This window comes from Homo sapiens, chromosome 2, assembly GCF_000001405.40.
Source record: "Homo sapiens chromosome 2, GRCh38.p14 Primary Assembly".
Lineage (NCBI taxonomy): Eukaryota > Metazoa > Chordata > Mammalia > Primates > Hominidae > Homo > Homo sapiens.
In genome coordinates this window covers 98,545,817-98,564,908 of record NC_000002.12, presented here as the reverse complement: position 1 = coordinate 98,564,908, position 19,092 = coordinate 98,545,817, and the positions used below count along the sequence as shown (strand labels likewise).

The 19,092-nt window shown below is 48.7% G+C and overlaps 1 protein-coding gene across 46 annotated transcripts in view, besides 3 other annotated features; it reads right to left on the bottom strand.

The window, feature by feature from the left end:
* INPP4A (inositol polyphosphate-4-phosphatase type I A) overlaps positions 1-19,092 on the bottom strand; it is a 149,806-nt gene that overhangs the window by 29,484 nt on the left and 101,230 nt on the right. For 9 of the 46 annotated variants that reach the window (XR_922915.3, XR_007074203.1, XM_024452876.2 and 6 more), the window contains 9 exons: positions 18,836-18,940; positions 18,215-18,323; positions 15,940-15,957; positions 11,940-12,123; positions 10,420-10,638; positions 9,101-9,356; positions 5,414-5,446; positions 1,272-1,444; positions 146-269 (listed from right to left, as the gene is read on the bottom strand). Coding sequence is in view for 44 of the 46 variants with exons in the window: in XM_024452876.2 (XP_024308644.1) it covers positions 146-269; positions 1,272-1,444; positions 5,414-5,446; positions 9,101-9,356; positions 10,420-10,638; positions 11,940-12,123; positions 15,940-15,957; positions 18,215-18,323; positions 18,836-18,940 (1,221 nt within the window). In the remaining 2 variants the exon portion in view is untranslated. Of the gene's footprint in view, positions 1-145; positions 270-1,271; positions 1,445-5,413; positions 5,447-9,100; positions 9,357-10,419; positions 10,639-11,939; positions 12,124-14,389; positions 14,554-15,939; positions 15,958-18,214; positions 18,324-18,835; positions 18,941-19,092 lie in introns of those variants that run through there. The other 37 variants (XM_047444199.1, XM_047444204.1, NM_001134225.2 and 34 more) reach the window with 11 other exon arrangements.
* Positions 4,417-4,588: a silencer, noted in NCBI's record as "fragment chr2:99176784-99176955 (GRCh37/hg19 assembly coordinates)". NCBI's record gives its function as "represses an EF-1alpha promoter that drives an FKBP-Casp9 reporter gene in an ReSE screen in HepG2 liver carcinoma cells {active_cell/tissue: HepG2}" and the evidence as "EXISTENCE:reporter gene assay evidence [ECO:0000049][PMID:32094911]".
* Positions 10,035-10,535: an enhancer, noted in NCBI's record as "H3K4me1 hESC enhancer chr2:99170837-99171337 (GRCh37/hg19 assembly coordinates)". NCBI's record gives its function as "activates a minimal SCP1, AML or CMV promoter by ChIP-STARR-seq in naive H9 embryonic stem cells {active_cell/tissue: H9 hESC(naive)}" and the evidence as "EXISTENCE:reporter gene assay evidence [ECO:0000049][PMID:30033119]".
* Positions 15,745-15,834: an enhancer, noted in NCBI's record as "active region_16268". NCBI's record gives its function as "activates an Ori minimal core promoter by ATAC-STARR-seq in GM12878 lymphoblastoid cells {active_cell/tissue: GM12878}" and the evidence as "EXISTENCE:reporter gene assay evidence [ECO:0000049][PMID:35858748]".

The window sequence follows — 19,092 nt, the reverse complement described above, 5'->3', positions numbered from 1 at the left end:
AGGTCTGCCATCTGGTCTGCTGTTATATATTTTGGATTTATTTCAATAAGCACGCATTACTGGTATAGTGAGAAAAGTGCCTAGCAAGAAAGGATGGAAACCACACACGCAAGTGGGGCTCCCGATCCTGGCCCGGGCGCCTCACCGTAGGTGCTCAGCAGGCTCTCGAACTGGGCCAGCAGCCCGATGGTGTAGAGCTGGCGCAGGAAGCCGTCGTCATGCAGGCAGTTCCTCAGCTTAATGATGAAGCCGCAGATGAGGGCGGTCAGCTGTGGGAGCGTGGGGTGAAGAGGTTCAGGGTCAGGTGCCTGCTCACCAAATGGCAGTCAGATCATGCCCAGCCCCCCACCGCCCCCTTCCTCTGCTGCCACTGCTCAAAGGGGCTTCAGTGGCACCTCCCATCCCTTGAGAAGCCCAGGTGGGGCATGCCCTGGCCATGGGAAGACGCCCAACAGTGGGCTTGCTATTCCTGTCGCTCACCAAGTGGGTTTGGTTTTTGGCCCAGCTTCTGACCTGACCTATACCTGGCTTTATTCCTAGGCTGGAACTTCTGGAAGCCCATTATTAATTACTCACAGTGAAAGGGTCTATCTACTCATAGAGCCATGCCACCCCTGGCTGGAAACTGAGTTAGCCCCAGCAAAAAACAGAAGTGAGAGACAACATGGTCACTCAAAGTTTCCCCAGTGGGAGATTTTCTATGGGATGAAACAGGACTCTCCAGGATGGGTGAGGGAACCTGTAGAGAACCAGCCCAACCCCAAATCACTGTTCACTTTACTAATTTGATTACTGGCAACTATTAAACTTGTTACATTCATTTCAAGGCTTCACTTCTCTCAACAATAAGAGAGTCCTGCAACAAGCTGCAGAGCTAAGGCACCTACTGTTATACGAGCAATGTTTGCACTGACAGCAAATACCTGTGTTGCCCTCACTCAACCTCTGTGCAGTAAAAAAAAAAAAAAAAAAAAACGCAGCAAAGAAGCCTGTGCCACCCATGCATGCCCTCACTATCTCCTGGGTGCAGAATCGGCAGACTCTGCAGGTGCCAGTTCCTTGGGAGAAGCAAGCATGGGCTGCCAAGGTAGTTCTCCTGACTGTGTTGAAATGTAGACCTCTCTATTAAATAACCTTTAAAGCACCACCAGGAGGAAATATGGCCATCTGGGGTCTTTTACAAGTGAAGTGAGAGGGAAGGGCTTCCTAAGCCTGTCTTTTCTGAGCTGAGAGGTGCCCGTGGTCTCCCTCGGGGTGCTCCCGGGGCCTACCGTCTGGCAGAAGACCACGTCACGGCGGTACTGCAGGCTCAGGTAGGTGGCTATGGTGGGCGCGCTGTCCTGCATGAGCAGGAATACCATGGCCTTCTTGGCCTTGTCACTCATCATGGCCACGCAGTCGGTGAGAGTGGTCAGCAGCGGGTAAAGGGCCTCACTCCATTCACCTGGGGCACAAGCGAAGGGGTCATCACAATGAGAGAGAGATTTTAAGAATTAGGTTCTGGCAATTTAACAAGTCACCTGGCCCCTAACCACTGCAGTCCTCCCACTCCCCCATCTCCACCTCATCTTCCAGCTCTGTCTGGAACCAACCCAGTCTCTAGCCCTCTAGCCCTCTAGCCCCAGCTCTTTCCAGCAACCTCAAACACCAGTTCTACTCCGGTACCTCCAAGACATGCCTGGTCTCCTGAACCTGTTGGGGACCCTAAACAGAAATACTCAAGACAATGCCTTCGGAGGAAAACAACAAAGAAGCTTCTGCAAGTCATGACGAGGCCAGAAAATGCTCTGTCCCCAGAGGCCCATCTCCTTCCACAGCCCTGTAGCACCTCCACCCGGAGAGGAAGGACACCCAGAAAGGTTCTCTGTGATCTCCCTTCTCTTGACCTGGGTATAAAGTCAAGTCAGAGACTCCTCTGCCCTTGCCAAGCCTTGTGTGCAACTGTGTTCAATTCTTACCCCTGCACACCTGGAGGAGGACTATTCCCCACAGCTCCCAAGTTTTCAGCCCTCAGAACGGCCCCACCTTGCACTCACTTCCTTCCCCACCCCCACCTTCCTTCCCCAGTACTATTTCTAGCTTAGTTTTCTTTTAGGAATATAGGGAAACTTTGACCCTATACCAAAACAACTTTTTAAAAATAGAACCTCAAGGGAGAAAAACAGGGTGAAAGATATTTTGGGTTTTGACTCTTTTTTTCCTTCCTATTTAGAAGACATTTAAAAGAGAAGACAGGCTCTCATTAAGGTTATATTTGTAACAGGTGATTAAGACCAGAAATAGGCATGTGACCATCACCACTTGGTGAATCCACCACACCAAACATGGTGAGAAGTCATGGAGTGAAGCCCAGGCAGTACATGCCCCTTAGGGTGAGGGTTCGAGCCACAGAATGCGCCAGGCCATGTCCCGGCACGGCACTCAGGGAAGGCCATGGGCTGTGGGAGCTGTGCGGCTGCCAGAGGATAAACTCTGTCTTAGATAAACAGAATCTCAGAGACCGAGAGAAGGGCGGCTTGGCCCTGTTCTCTCAAGCTGGATGGTTAGCACTTCACTGAGAAACCAACCTAAAGAAATACTGAAACATATAAAAGAATTCCCTACACTCAGTGTTTGGTTAATGCAAATGTTTAAGTATATGTAGCAGCTCAAAAGTTGGAGGTGGCCTAATTGTACATGCAGGCACGCTAACTGTTTGTGGACAGGATTTGTATCTGTAATGGAAAAAGCAGGCTTAAATTTAGCAAGTCCACAGCAGACAGGTCTTAGCAAATGAATCATGGTGACGAAGGACACTGAACTGAGAGGTGGAAAATGTGGAGGCCCGGCCCCGGCCACTGCTGAGCAGAGGTGACCACAGGCAAGGCCCTCGACCCCTCAGCCATGTGGGTCCTTTTTTATAAAATGAGAGAGAGGCACTAGATAATGTCCGAGTCTCTTTCCTCCACTAAAGTTCTCAGAGACCATGTTTTTGTTTCTTTGAAGAATTCTGTTGAATGTATGCCAATTATATGAAGTGCCTATTAAAAATGCCAAAGGCAAACAAGTTTTTCTCGCCAAACGGTTTGGGGAAAGGCAGGCAGTCTTTAAGACTATCCTTCTCTAAGAAGTACATGCTCTTAAAGCAAATGTTGCCAATTTTACTTTGCTCTTCTAGCTGTCATGCATATCATGAAAATCATGATTATTTTAATCTGAAAATGATCAAAATATACAACTGGTCTTACTTGACTAAACAAGCTCTCTCCATACAACTTTTTCACTTTGCCTATATCTCTTTAAACTAAATTCCTATGAGAACGATTGCTTCGCTACATTAGGAAAAAAATGAAAAAAAATTGTAGTATAGGAAGAATGGCTAAAAAGCACTAAGATGTTTGTCCTGGAAAAGAGGAGATATGGAACTTGGTAGAAGGTGAGTGTCGTTATCTGCCCAGAGAAGGACTCAGACATGCCTGGAACAATTTTTTAAAAGTTCAACCAAAGTGAGTTTCTTGGGCAGTAACATGATTTCCACGCAGGATCTAGTGAAGTAAAGGCACCTGGGTCACTGGAATCGGTGAAGGGTTTATACTCTGCCTCCTTCACTGACAAAGCCTTGTTATGAGAAAAAATCAGCTCAGTGAAACAATGTCCTGAGTGACGTCGCTGACCCACGTTTTTGTAGAAAACTCCTTATCTAGTTCCTAACCCGTAATGTTCGCAGACCGGTAGTGAATTCATGGGCCATACTAATTTAGATAACTTTGAAGAGCACTTTCAAATCCGTACTTTGCTTCTGCATTTTCCCCTCATCAGTAGGGGAGGGAGAAAGGGAGAGTGTGTGTGCCTTTGTAAGTGTGTATATTTTAGCCCAGATTAAATGCAGTTCTCCAGGAAAAGCCAAAAGAACTCCTTGCAAGGACCATTTTAGTCCATCAGCATCAACTGTGAAAAAGCCATCAGTGCTTCTGGAAATGTCCCAGCTGACACACAACAAGGAGGGCTCTACAGGCCAGGCATTGTCTGTGTGCTGCCCGGGGACCCATGAGACTTCCCATTAGTTCTGCAACCCTCAGGAGCCCAGAACTGAGAAGACCCCCTGAGCTTCTGTGGGGGCAGATGCACATGCCACCAGCCCTCTCTTGGCCCTAACTGCTGGGTATGGCCCCAGGCTTGGGCACCACTGAGGCTCAGGCGACAGCCAGCTCAGTCCGAAGGCACTGGCCTGCCGTGGAGGTCAGCTGAGGCATGGGCCCGGGGAGGCAACGGAGGAGGAGACCAAGATCAACTGTTTGTACATCTACCAAGGCCTCAGTAACCTTGAGGGTCCAAGGGGGTGGGGCCCAAAGCCTGCTCAAAGCGACACTGACTTTTGGGGAAAGAGAAACTGTGAAGGGGCTGAAAGCAAACTGGGAGAGTATGAGGTGTCCAATCAGATTAGCCCGCCAATGAGCTAACTTCTAAGAGCGTCCTGGGGTTGCTGCCAGGAGCTGCCACACTATGCTGACTCATGGGGCTGTATGGGTGGACAGGCTTCACTAGCAATGCACAGGAATAGCTTGTTAGCCTGGTAAATCCCACAGTCATGGACTCGCTACATTCTAGACATCAACAAAGTATCCTGCTGTCTTACATTTATAACCAGTCAGAAATATGCAAGCAATAGACTGACCATGCAGCTGATTTTTGGAATGTAAGAAAAAGAACATCAAATCATATTATTTGGGGGACTCATGCTCAAAACCACAAGCCATACCCAGGAAACTCAATATGAACTAGATCAGGGGTCAGCACACATTTTCTGTAAAGAGCTAGACAGTAAATATTTTAGGCTTTGAAGGCCACGGGTTCTCTGCTGCAACGAACTCTGGCACTGCTGCACAAAAGCAGCTGCAGACAATACATGAACAAGTGGGCAAGGTTGGTTTCTAACAAAACATTATTTATAAGAGCAGACTGTGGACAAGATTTAGCTCAGAGCTGTAGCTTGCCAACCCCTGAACTAGAACCATAAACATTGGTTTCTACATGCAAAGGAAGCAAAGAGATTACATTTCTGGTACTAACTGCAACTGAGGCCCATAGCAATGTCTGGTAAGAATTCTAAAACTGCACCCAGGAAGTCCAGATGTGTACCTCCCTACCTCAGGTCAACCACTTCAGGAAGCCCAACACGCTCATCTGTAAAGACTTTAGAATGTAAGAGTAAAACAAATACATGTGGTAGTCTGCCTCAGGCCACAATTTCCTCAGCCCAACTGGTCCCTCATCAAACCTGCGAAAAGTGTTTTATGCCTCACAACGAAGGAGGTCCTGGAATACTTTCCCAACTCTGGGATCATAAGGCAATCTTTTGTAATTTAGCTACAAAACACTACCTGAGTATCAATTAAAAGGGCATCAGCAGGAGCCTTGAACGGAAACCACGTACCTGGGCTGGACTCTTCAGGAGGGGGACTGCAATCTGCACAGAAATGGAGGGCGACATGGATGATTAAGGAGCAGCACACAGTTCAAACCAAGCAACTCAATCTCAGAGCAGCAGCTGCGTCAGCAGCTTGCAGTAAGGCGGCTAACAAACAGAAAAGAGGTCTGGGTGCCTGGCTGCCTCTTCCCCAAGAAGGCTCACGAAAGTACTCTGGCTGCTCCAAGGCAGCCAAGCCCTCTCAGTGGTAAACAATGACAGATTCCCCAGCTTAAACATTCATGTTGCCAATAGTTCAACATAAAATGCTCTTCGGGATGTGCGATCTAGCTTATTACAATGTGATAAATGCCACAGAAAAAAGCACCCACATAAATCACATTGTAGTGGCAGAGCCCCGCGTTGGCTTGCGGCATCTGGAAGCAAACTTGTAAGGAGAGAGACTGACCAGTACACGGCGTGTTCCACGGTCAGTCCCACTGCTCTGATTCACCGGGGAAGCCTGGGCTCAGGATCGACTGCTGAGATCCAAAGTGTTAAGATCCAGGAATGAAACCAGTATACCAAAAAAAACTCTATGCCAATCTCCCAAATTTAAAACAAATGTTAAGTTTTGTGATTTAGGGGTAGTCTCCAATTAGAATGTCCCTTCAGGTCCTCAAAGAATACCACTTTTGATTCCATTTCACCTATACTAAGTCACACTGGGATGTACTTACTTCAATTTCGTATTTCCCTTAAAAACCAAAATTTCTCATTAACTGGGTGCACCATCTAAGAGAAAACAAGTTTGAAAAGGAATCATGGAAGAAAACATTTATGTTAATTTATGTCTGAGCTTTTCAGTTCAAACAATGTCTTCAGGATGTGGAAATGAGGTGGTCTCGGATCCCCAAGAACAGCCAGAACCAGCTTTATGGGGATTTTACAACCTAGGTTGTAAAGAAGGGGCAAAGGATCCTTCCTCTCTAATCGTCTTTGGAAGTGACTTTTCAAACTGGCAAAGGGGAAAGAGAATACAAAGGCATCTGCAAGTTCAAGAGTTCGACCTCTTCGTTAACCCAGATGCCCTGAGACCATGTTGCTAACAAAGATAGAAACCCACAGTGATATAGAACTGTGGCTCTTACATATTGATCTGCTAATCAGGTTATGTGAGGCCTTGAAAAAATACAGATTTTTGCCTCCCCATAACCCCTCTTCTAGGATTCTGAGCTTATGAATGAGGAGGAAGGTCTAGGAGCCTGTTTTATGAGCTTCTGTGGTGATCCCAAACAGCTAGGTTGGGACCATTCCTGTGAAGGCATCAGGGATTAAACCCAATTTGCTAAATTCATCTTTCAATCAAAGGGGAGAAAAAGGGGGTCTTCTCTGGTACTCCTGGAATAATGGCTTGTAACTTGTCTTAGGTCATGGAGTTGAGAATAGGTGACCACTCTGGACTTCCTCTGTACACACATGCAAATTCCAGCACATAATCTCAGGGGTACAAGAACCTGGGTGTACCCATAGACCCCAGACTAAGAAAAACTTGGTCTAACCATCTCTTTGGGTATGAGGAGAGCAACAGAGTGTACAGGAGGAAGGCGGTGGAAGCCACCAAATCCTGGTGGGGCGATAGTGGTGCACCTTGGCAGGCGGGGGTGGAGGGGGATGGGAGACTTTTGGAGAGATGAGAAGAAGGGAAGTTTGAGGAGCCTCTGTGGTTTTGGCTGGCAGGGACTTGTCAGTGGGTCCCCCACAAGGCCTTGGCCCTGGGTGACCCTCACCTGCCAGACAGTGCTCTCTGATCAGGGCAGGGCAGCTCTGAGGCAGGGCAGCTCCCTGGTGAAAAATAAAAACCAAGGACCTAGGACAGGGTAGAGAACTGGAATGAAAAGTGATGATGCCTTTCAGAGCAGTACAGAGTTATTCTCACATAATAAATATGTTGGTGTGAACATACCTGCTCATTAAGCCAAAACAATGGCTCCAGTAACTTGGAATGGTATAAAAAGTCATGACAGAGCCATGCTGTGGCACTGTGGACAAGACTCACCAAAATAAATAGCTCACAGACTGGTTCTTTCTGATCCTCCTACTTACACTGAGGACTGAACAGCTTCCTGGCTGTGCTAAAGATGTTTAAATTAAGGACCATCCACAGATAATTTGGTGGCATATGGTTTCATACATTTGAGTACTGATCAGCAGAGTTAGACTCTCTCAAATGTAAGCTTCACATTCCCATTATTACAACAGCTGATTTTTATGGCACACGCAAGTCAAACCCTAAATAGCATATATAAATGCTCACTTAACTAACTTTAAAACTGAATAAAAATGTATCTATATTTAAACAATACAGGATGTGCCTAGAAAAAAAATGACACTTAAGTTAGGGATATAATCCCATCTGATGAAATAAACTAGCTCCCACATTTAAAACAGCCAATAAATTACCCTTTTCATTATCTGTAGAAAAATTTAAAATCACAAACAAGATAATAAAGTAAAAAGAAATAAACAATGAATTTTCAGAAAATTTTAAAAAGGAACACGATTCACATAAAAAAGAGAACATGAATAGAGACAAAATAGTTCCATGAGCCAATCACAGGTGTGGGGAAGTGAAACCATAATCCCCCATAGATGGAGAGATGGGTGACGTGATAACTGTCGAGACAGAGGCTCAAGTGAGACAGTGCCCTGGAAACAGACTGCAGGCAGAGTAAAGAGGCAAAGGGCATCTTACAACCTGAAGGGGGATTTGCCAAGAGGCTCTGACCAAGAGGCACGCTTATACCTTGAATGGAAGTTCTCCAATTCAGAATTTAAAAGCCCTCATCACATGAAGCTTAATCCCAGCACATCTGGGCCTTACCTACTATGACTTAAAACTCCCACAGGAGAACAAAAAGGAGGCAGAAGCTAGGTCTGTGGGCAAGTCTCAGCTGCCTAGCTTGTAACTCTATGGCTCTTACAGGAAAAGGCGGAGACATCTCAGTTGCAGGGACTGTTTCCCAGCTTTAAGGCCATCTGCAGGACAGTGTCCTGGTATGCTGTGTCTCTGCAGACAGGAGACTGTTCTGAAGCATGCTGCTTCATGCCAGTGTCCTACCCTGAAGGGTCCTGCCAAACCACCTGACTCAGACCACCAGAAGCCCAGGAACAGGGTCCCATTCTCTGTGTTACCAAGTCCCAAGGCAACATGCCTCTGCTGCATAAGAGAGTGCCCAGCCAATGCCAACCAGCTTTTAGACATGTCCACTGGACCTGCCAATATCTCTCATCCAGCTGTGTCCCTGAACAATTCCCCTTTCCCCTTTCATTCTACCAATTCCTAATGCCATAGACAATCACATCAGAAAGGCATCTGCATCCTGGCCTCCTTCAGGTTCTCAGATTGCTTTACAAACCTGAAAAGCCCAGGAGCCCAACCCTTATAGCCATGGTGGTGTATCTCAAGAGGACCCTGAGATTCTGACTGGCAGAGATGCAGAATCACACATGGGCTCCAGTTACATGGAAAGGCAACCGGAGACTCCGCTCTCACTGCCTGCTGCTCCATGCACTGGGACGCCCCCGCTCCACCTGGCAGCCCTCCCTGCAGTCTGCATGGGGGAGGAGGGCATGGAGTCAGAGACACAGACAAATGGAAGCAGCACAAGGTGAAATGGAGGCAGCATATGGGAAGCATGGATGCATACGCACGTGTGGTCAGATGAGGATGGCATGCAGTGGAGGGCATGGTGGAGGGGCATGGTGAGGAGGGGACATCACAGAAGGGGTCTTCTGGTCTGATCCAGTAGGCGTGGCTGTCCGGGTTACCTTTCTTGCTGGTGCAGCTGCCTGCACAGGGGAAGACATCCTCACAGCCCTCGCCATGCAGCCGCTCCTTCTGCAGCAGCTTGTCCACACGCTGAATGATGCACTCTAGGCTCTTGTCCACGTTCAGCCACACTTTCTCCTTCCAAATCAAAGGGGCCCATGTGGGTCAGCTCTCCCGAACAGAAACACAAACATAACACAAACCAAATCGCCCTCCACTGATCCCCTGCCCTAGGCTTCCACACTTGTTAAAATACCTCAAAGTTTAGAAATATAAAGATGATTCCTAATTCCCCACTAAAGTTGCATTTGCTTTTCAACGATGAATCGATGTCCTGCGGCCATTGTTTTTAGAGTTTGGGAGATGTTTGCTAGTAACTCTTCTGGAGGCCAGGTGGCCCTCCAGTGCTGCCTGAAAGGCCACAGGGCACTGTCTCATCTCCTCCTCTTGCCACTGCAGACTTCCTACAATCATCACACACAGACAAAATGGAGGCCTCCTTTTGATAGAAGGGAACAGAAATTTCGATAGGGGAGGTGGGGAGGAGGAGAGGAAGGTCTGGGAGTGATTTGCAGAAACACGCACAGTGTATAGGATGGGACTTTGCTGCTGATTAATAGTTCAGTGCTTGTAGAACAATGCCTCTAAGCAGTAGTCTCAATAAATGGTAAAAACAAGTTGTACAATGTGTCACTCCCTCAAGAAACACAGATCCTGCTCCCAGGGCCAATTCTCTGAGGAACAATAATGTGATGTAATGTCAGGGCGGCAGCTCCAAAATCCATATCTACTTGCCCCAGCACCAGAGCTCCCACGTCCCCAAATACACATAGCCCTGGAAAATCTAACAGCAAACAGAGCACTGACTGGTCTCAAGCATCCCAAGGCCATAGAAGGCACAGGAGGCAGGGGAAGGAGAGACCTCCAACACGGGAGGAAAACCCACTTGTCTTCCTCTTCATCCAGGTCTGAGGCTGGCCCAGCCCCCAGCACAGCCCTACCCCTATCTGGACACAAGGGTTTGAAAACAGTCTCCTCCCTCCCTGCATCAGGAGCCAAGGAGCCATCCAGGAAGGAAACCTGGAGCTTGTTCACAGCAGTTGAACCTTGAGGCACTTCAGAGGGGCAGAGACTGGCAACAGGTTTTGTGGTTTTCAGCCCAAGTTCAGCAGTGGGATGACAGCCACAGCAGCAGACTCACCCACTCCTCCTCGTGCCAGTCCACCTGCAGGGAAGATCGGCTGTTTCTCCCTGTCCACCGGGCCATGAGGGTGTCCTGGTCATTTCTAAGCATCACCTGCTCCTCCTCAGTCGAAGTGGGAGAGGCCTTGGAGGCAATGTAGTCAGGCCGTGCAGCGTTCAGCCCATGGATGGAGTTGGCCAGGAGCTTGCAGTCGCAGACCGTGACCAGCTGCCGTGTCTGCAGGTGCACACAAACCAAGGCTGCTGAGCCCAGGCCAGGGGCTGGGGAGGCCCCTGCCTTATCTCAGAAATGGAGAATGGGCTTAAAGCCCAGCACTGCACCCCTCTGCCTTTCTCCACAGTGCAAAGCAACTGAAGGGCTACATCCCTCAAGATGTCTGAGTACAAAGACTGCCATGTGGCCCACTTGGGCTGAATCTTAACAAGAATTTCCCACCAAGGAAGAGAAGAGGTTGAGAAATCTCTGACATTCTCTGATCCCTGCCTACCTCTGACCTGTGATTGCTAGGGGAGGGGCCTGCAGAGAGAGCCCACTGCCCCAGCCTTGACAGACTTCCACCTTCCAGGGAACAAGTGTCCAGGGGTCAGGCCTTACTTTGGTTCAATTGTGTAAGTCTTATCTTTTGTTCCTCAGCATCTAATACCTCAAGTTCTGGGTTCTGGGTAGCTGGCCTCCTGGCACAACATGTCTGGTTTTGGAGAATTCTGCATGCAACACGGGTTCTGTGGTTCATAATGTTACTGCTGACAACTACATCTTTCTTTTCCAGGGGATCTAATCCCCACCTCACACTCTATGCTGTGTGAACACCTGTGAAGGATATAACACATTCTGATCAGGAACAGCAGCTCAACAGCACAGTGAGTGTGAGTGTGGAGGTATAGTCAGAATCTGGGGTGTGTGTGTGTGTATGAGAGCGTGTGTGTGTGTATGAGAGCGTGTTTGTGTGCGCTGAGAGAGAGACCAAGTAATGGGGAAAAGTATCATCCATCAAAAGGGTCTGATAATAGCCACTTCCTCAGTAGGGATTAATACTTACATATTTTAAAACCAGGATCAAGTTATGGCTAAGTAGAAGCTGGTTTACTGACTATATGTAAGCCAATAAAATTATATTCTTCTTATGTCTGTATAATAGCTCAGTTTCTGTTTTCAAATTCAACTAAAATAGAAATGTGGCCAAAAAAAAAAAGTGCTAGTTAGGCTGTTACTGAGAAAGAAGTGGAACTGTATCACCCTCAACAAAATGAGCCCCATGGACTTGCTGAAGGGCACATGTGCCTGAAGCTGCACCTAAGAGTCATGAGCCCTGGGCTCTGCCCTTGGTCTGTCCAGCTCTGCGGACAAATCACAAAACCTCCCTGGGCCTTTGTGCGAAATGGACCTAAGGTAGACCTTCAAAGTCATCCCAATGTCACGCTCTTTGTGGACCATCTTAGGTACACCTGGGCTGCCTGGTGGCTTCCAGAAACCCAAGGAAACTCCCCAGCCCATATGTAGCAGGGCACCCCTCCTACCTTGTCTGCCAAGATGGCGAGTGTCCTCTCAAGGCCAGTGGCAGACCTGTCCTTGGCTGCCCTTGACAGCCGCTCTGCGTAGTAACTCACTTGGGTTTTCAGGGTGTTGATCTGGGCGATGATCTCCTTGGCTCTGACAACATCCTGGGGTATGTAGATTATGGACTGGCAGCCAGATGATGTACTGGAAAGGATAAGAATGGATTCTAAGGGATTCTCCAGAATCTGAAAAGGATGACAGCATCATTCCAACCCCAGCCACAATTGACCCTAAGATGAAGTGTTCTGTGACTCAGGGATGTTCTCTCAAGCTACTCTAGTTGTTGATGAGCAAAGTATATCTTAGGAGATTCTTCCTGTCTATATGGCAGGAGCTTGAAATATTAAACTATGACTCAGTCTTTTATCTGTATTTGCATGTATCTGTATTTTTACTTGTGTATGTAAATGTATGAACAGGTATTGAACAATCATATCCCATAATCACCCAAATGATCGTAATCTTCCACCTCACAACCTCATCTATTAACTTATAAGCAGTACTTAAGTGGAGACATAGAGGCCATTTACAGAAGAAGGGGTCAGGTTATCACAGTGTAGCAGAGACTGCAGTGGGTGTTAGACTTTGTCCCCAAACAACCAAAACCTATTTTTTCTTTTGGCCAATCAGGCATTCAAGCTCCCTGTGAACATACCCACAGTCGTCCTTCCTCTCATGTCTGACCCCAGCAAGTCCCTAGAAAATGGGGTTTCCTTTCCCTTTCCTTCGCTCCAGGACTTCCCTACTTTGAAAAATAACGTTTCATCAAATGAAGAAAAAGTGGAGAACATGCCAAGCCACAGGCAAAGCCGGACTCCTCAGTGGCTTTGTAACCCTGGCTCTCCCTCCTTCCCACCTCTTCGCCACCAAGCAGCGTGTGTGTCTAGGGATCTGATGCCAAGCCTACAGCCCAGCCCCTCCCAGCACAATCAGGAGGCTCTGAAAGACCAACTTCACATCCTCCCGCTGTGGGGGCCTGGCCAGTGTGTTGGGTCCAACTAAACGGTGATGATAAATTGCATGTCTCTTAGCCTGATCCCAATCAATCCAATATTATAAATTTATTTTTCAGACCATCTGAGGAAGCTGAAGAAAGCAGGAAGAAGTACAAGCCACCAATGCAGAGGTCTCCTCCTAAAATTTGAAATTGTGAGCTCTGGGTAGAATGGGTGTCCCTTCGCTCATGGGATGAGGGGTCCTGACTGGTCCCTAAAGGGCTACCCTTTGAATTCTGGGGAAGAGAGAGAGAGGAGGAGCGAGGGCACCTCTCACCACATCCTCCATCACTTCCCCTGGAGATGACAGTCACCTTGGTCAGGGCTGAGAATCTTCCCCATTGGCCCCTTCCCAGGGAAGTCCCAAAGTGGTTCATCAAGAAACCACCACTACCCCTTCCCTTGCTGGATTATGTGGCAAACATGCAAAAACCGAAAACCAAAGCACCCCGGAAAGAAACACCACCACCACAAGCCCACACGCCACAGTAAAAAACAATGGATGTGCCAGAAGCCCATGCAGCAGACCGCACTCAAGCTCGTGGGGCACAACAGGAGTCATTCCACAGCATGATGTGCACACTACTTTCCAATCTGCAATCACTCTTCCAAATGAATAGCTGCCTTCTAAGACCATTTCATCTTAAAAAGACAATCTCAAAATAGGATTTTAAAAAATCAATTCAGCCAAGCATGGTGGCCTATAATCCTAGCACTTTGGTAGGCCAAGGTGGGTGGATTGCTTGAGCCTGGGAGTTCAAGATCAGCCTGGGCAACATCGTGAGACCCCACCTTTTAAAAAAATTTAAAAATTAGCTAGGCATGGTGGCTTGTGCTTGTGGTTCTGGCTACTTAGGAGGCTGAGGCAGGAGGGTCAACTGAGCCCAGGAGTTTGAGGCTGTAGTGAGTTATGACGGTGCCAGTGCACTCCAGCCTGGGTGACAGAGCAAGACCCTGACTCCAAAAACAGTGGAAAAAAAAAAAGGATTCTTCCCAGGCCCCCAATATTTAGAGTACATATATAAAATGTGCTGTATGTAGATCTACTTCTGTGTAAGGAGGTGGCTGTGTACCCTTCAACAAATACATACCCTCTGCCCAGGCCAAGAGAAAAGCACTACCCTATACTTGCCCTGTATTCTCACAAGTCATGTTTTAATGATGATACCTGGGACTTATGCATGGGATATACATGGCAGGGGCAAGAAAAGGCAAATTTCAAAGAGGTGCTGTTTAGGATGATGAGGAAAATACAAGCATGTGTGCTCAACTACCTAGTTTTAAAAACCAGGCAGCCACATGAGGGCGGCAGGATGGAGGTGTAGACATGAAGCCTAGGGGCAGCCCCAGGAGGCAGTATCCTAGGTATAGCCCTTGGACTTTGCATTAGGCCCCCACCCCAGACCCGGACCTACCCAGAGCTGGGGTCATGGGCTAAACTGAAGATGCCATGAGAGCGTAAGGGTGGAGTCTTGTGGCCCTGGCCAGGAACTGCTGGTAACTGCTGAGCAACAGTCACTCTGGACATTAGAAGAGCAGGATCACCTCTGCAGAGGCTGAGCCCCCATGGAGCTGGGTTCTGCAAGGGTAGGAGGATTGGGAGGCTGGGTCCTCTCTGCCTGGGATTTAGCCCCTCACAGTCTCCAGGCAGGGACACTCCTTCTGCCTGTAACCCTCCCCGCTCCATCCCCTCCCTGCTTCAGGGACAGTCTTGTATATGGGGAGCAGGGGGGAGACGGCAAGGGGTGACCAGGCCCAGATTGGGCTATGGAGGGTCCTCAGAGGGAACCCAGGAACGCAGAAAGTTCCCCAGGAACAAGGTTCAACCCAAAACACCTGGGTTGGGATTTACCAAGGAGCAGGCCTTGGGGGCAGCTCCTTGGTAAAGCCAAAGGCCTCTCCCCTCCCATTCCTCTTCCTCTGCCCCGCTAGACTCAACCCCTAAGTACTTTACTTGTCCCGTTATGGGAAAGATCAGGCCTTGAAAGAGTCCCCAGTAGAGAAAAGGCAGGGAGGGGAGGCTGAGAGGCCACTTCCACAGAAGTAGCATGGGTCTGCTCCATTAAGGAGGCAGGAGCAGCAGCAACCGTCCCTAGATGCCCTCCTCCCTCCCTTGTACCTAAAGTACCCCCAGGGAAAAGGACCCCCAGGGGGAAGTTGAGAGGCCTCAGCCTGGACATCGGGGAATGTCCTCAGTGCTTCCTCCTGTCAGATGCCACCAGCAGAGCCTGACACCTCCAGCAGGGCCCAGCCATAGCCCCTGAGCCCCATGGGTCACAGGCTCTGAGGCAGCAGCATTTCTTGAGGGGCTGCAGGTGCCTCTGAATGAAGCACCACTGCAGAGCCTCTGTTATGAGCCTGGGGAAGCAGTAGAGAAGCCCAGGCAGCAGACACCGTGGTTTCTAACTGTCATCTAATTATCTGGTGGAAAAAGTCACTCAGTTGTATTAAATCTTGGTTTGTACCCACCCCCAGGGGTAAAACTGACCTTGGTAACAGTGTTATTAAAATCAGCATAAATTAATAAGCATCATGAAGATGTAGGCTGGCTTCATTTGTATAAGAGGTAATAGTGAAGTGAAAACTGAAAAGCCACAAGACTCCTGTATAAGAAGACAGGAGTTCCCAGCTGCACCCAGGGGCTGACATGAGAACCCAGCACCCAGGGGCTTCCTGGGTCGGGCCCTTCCTCTTCCTGGGAGAAACAGAACTAGGTCCTTTCTCAGAGTGAGTACGACAACACCCAGCTGCCAGGTTTTAAAGGTAAAACAGCAGACTGAAGATTGGCTATTCATTATTAAAGAACATTGCAGTTGGAAGGGAGGACTGTTTATGAGGTGTATAACTAGGAACCATGGCAGCACCGCAGGGGAAGCCCACAGGAGGAGGTGTGGGGATGGCACAAGCTTTCTCTGCATGAGGACGAGACCCAAACAGACACTCTCTCCACAGACAGAAAACTCACCAACACTCCTCAAAACTGCTAAAGAAAAGAACCAAAATGAAATATTAGCAGTTTGTTAGCAAATACCAAATGCAAAAACAAAAAATTAAAAAGCCAACTTATTTTTTGTCAAAATACTTAAAATTATTTGTTGAGGTCCCAACTACAGGGATGACTACAATCATGAGCCCAATGTGCTTATTCCTTAGAGCAGCGTCACTCCCTGTGCTCAAGCCCCAGGGAGACATCCCACCTCAGGCCAAGTTACCTCCGCATTTAAAGGAAAGTTCAAATCATGAATACCATATCTATAAGTGGCTTGATGGCATTAGTGAGAAATTAAATAGAAACTTATATATTTGAAAAATACTAAGAGGTATTTTGAGAAATAAATTCTAAAGTTAACATGCAGAGTTATCAGGAATCAACACCCCAAGCCTCCTGGGACAAAGACCCCCAGAAGGCCCCCTTCTTGACTGGCCAGAGTTACTATGGGTTCTCCTTCAGGGCCCCACCCCATCTCAAGCTGCACGCTCACACTCTCCACAGGGCAACATGCAATGGAGCGACAGACACGCTTTCTGGCTGGCTGTGCAGAGCTGCGGTGGCACAGGAAGCTGCGTCTTCTTCCTATTTCCCAAAGGGACCTGGAGTCAGCAAATCCTAAGACAGGTCTGGTTACCTGGTTTGTCTTAGGGAAGCACCCCTGGGAATGAATCAAAGTCAAGTAGGTTGTCTGGGGGCCTGAATTCCCCTTCCCTGTTTCTCCTCCCTCCGGGACTCACCGGGCTCTGGGCCCACCCAGGCAGCCTGTGCACGTATCTGAATGGTGACTTCTCACAGGGTACGCTCTTCCGTTCCCTGCTCAGCCTTGCCCATGATCAGTGACGCCCCTAGCTGCCTCCCTGACCCCCTCAGCCACTGATCTGACCTTTCACCTCTTTCAGTTTTCTCAGATCACGTCCTGACTCCCAGCCATGGCAGCACAGTCAGGTGCCAACCACCAGCTCCATGGCACATGCCAGAGCTCTTCACCTGACCATCCATGGGATTCTTGTGACGCTCCCTGGGCCTTTGCTCACCTTCCCTCACGCTGTTCCATGCTTGCTTGCTGAGTCTGACCCTCCCCAGCCCACATGCTGCAGAGGCTGTCGACGGATGCTTCTGCTTGTTCCTTCCCACCTCAAACATCTCTCTGCAGCCCCACCTCTTCTCCTGGCCCTTCTGATGAACACCTGCTCTTGCCTCTTTCCATCCTGTGAGAACCCGGCTCTAACACTGTTTTCCTCTCATTCACCTTACCTCATCCACTTCTGTCTTTCCTATCAGCCCAAACACATGCTAAGTCATAATTATTCTCCCTAAACCAAACACCTCATGCTACTTCCTCTACTTTGTGGTCACAGTCCAAGGATCTTACTGGTCATCTACACTCATCACCCCCACTTCCTGAGCCACTGAAATCTTCACAGGTGATGTTCTGGAAGATCATCAATGCCTCCTGCACATCTAACACAACAGCTTGGGTTTATTTCTGGCTCTCTCCCTCCCACCCCTGGGGGCTGGGTGGATGCCCTGCTCCATGCACCCCAGCATCCTCAGCATGCTTGTTTCAGGCCCTGTTCATGCCAAATGGTGCTTGCTGACTTGTCTACTCCCAGGCAAGGCCCTGAGCTCCTGGAACCAGGCCTAGATCTGCTGGGGGCTGTAACTCTGGTCACAGAGCAGGCTGGCAGCAAGGCCAGTCCTCTTAGCTCTCCGCCCCCAGCACTGTGCACCTGGCCACATTTCACCATGTGCAATGCTTCTGCCATGTCTTTGTCTGAAATGCCCTTCACCACCCTCCCTACCTGGAAATTTCCTGCTCAGGACAGTAGCTCTGTACAGCCCCCTGAATGTTTCAAAAACTGGGAATGTTTACCACTGCTGTCCTCTAGGAAACAACATGCTCCAGGCTCGATGCCTATGGTGCTCAACTGACTGGCCAGGGACTCTAAAGGATGCCAAGCCAGCAGAGTCTACATAGGGCGGTTGCCTGGAGCACCACTTCTGAGGTGGATCACAATCTGCTCCTCATTTTGCAGGACAGGACCATTGATCCAGTGCCCTCATCACCCACCCAGCTCAGTCACACATAAACAGAGCAGCACAGGCTCCATAAGGCAGATCCTCCTGCCACGCAAAAGCAGATCAGATGGCTGGGTGTTTTTGCGGTCATATTTTGATTTTATTTTAAACTGAGAAAAGAAGCATCAGAAAGCTGTACAAGGACCACAAACCCTCTCTGGCTACTTACTGTTTCTTGGTCTCTTCAAATTTGTGCAGCTTTTTGCGGAGACCTCCTGACTTAAAACCTTGGCAGTGTGCTGCTGGCGCCCCAATGGTGACGATGTCGTAGTTCTGATCTGAATGACAGAAAGCTCTCCTCCATTACTCTGGGCTCAGGCCTGTGGACAAGCCAGCTATAGGGATATGCACACAAGTCTGGGGTCCTGACCCTCCAGCCCACTGCTGTACAGCCTTTGGTTCCCCTGATCCCACAGCCCTGGCTGCCCAAGGGTCTGCTGGAGCCCAGTGCCATCACCTCAGCAACAAGGGGTTTAAAACATTTCAAGTGGAGCCACAAGGGCTGCAGGAAGCCACCCTGTAACTCCCGTTTGCATCCCTCCTTGGGAAGAAGGGCCGACAGGCAACTTTCTACTGCAGAAATACAAAGGGAAGCTAGAGTGAGGAGAGACAAAAGGAAGGGGTGTGGGCTGTTATCAGAAACCTTTTGAAGGTCCTTGTGACAAATCTCTCCTCCGAGCCGCCCAGAGCACACAGGGAAATGGGCAGATGTGGGGTACTCAGGGACCAAGTACCCACAGAGAAAAGCAGCGAAATGTGATTCAACAAGAGGGAGCAGAAAAATAGGTACCTGATCCTCCATCGTCTTGAACTCTCATCCTTTGTATGTGCAAGTTTGTGGGAACAAATTCTAACTTTTTATCTGCTTTCAAACTGCTTGCTTTAAACGAGGGCCCTAAGAAATGGAATAGGAGAAGATAAAGGCCATCAGCATACATGCTGCATTCACGAGTTGCAAGTAGAAAATGGAATTCAGAGGATGCTGTGGCATATAAGCAGGTATGTCGGCAGTGGCCTAGAAGATTCTGAGTTGCCATGAGCACATTT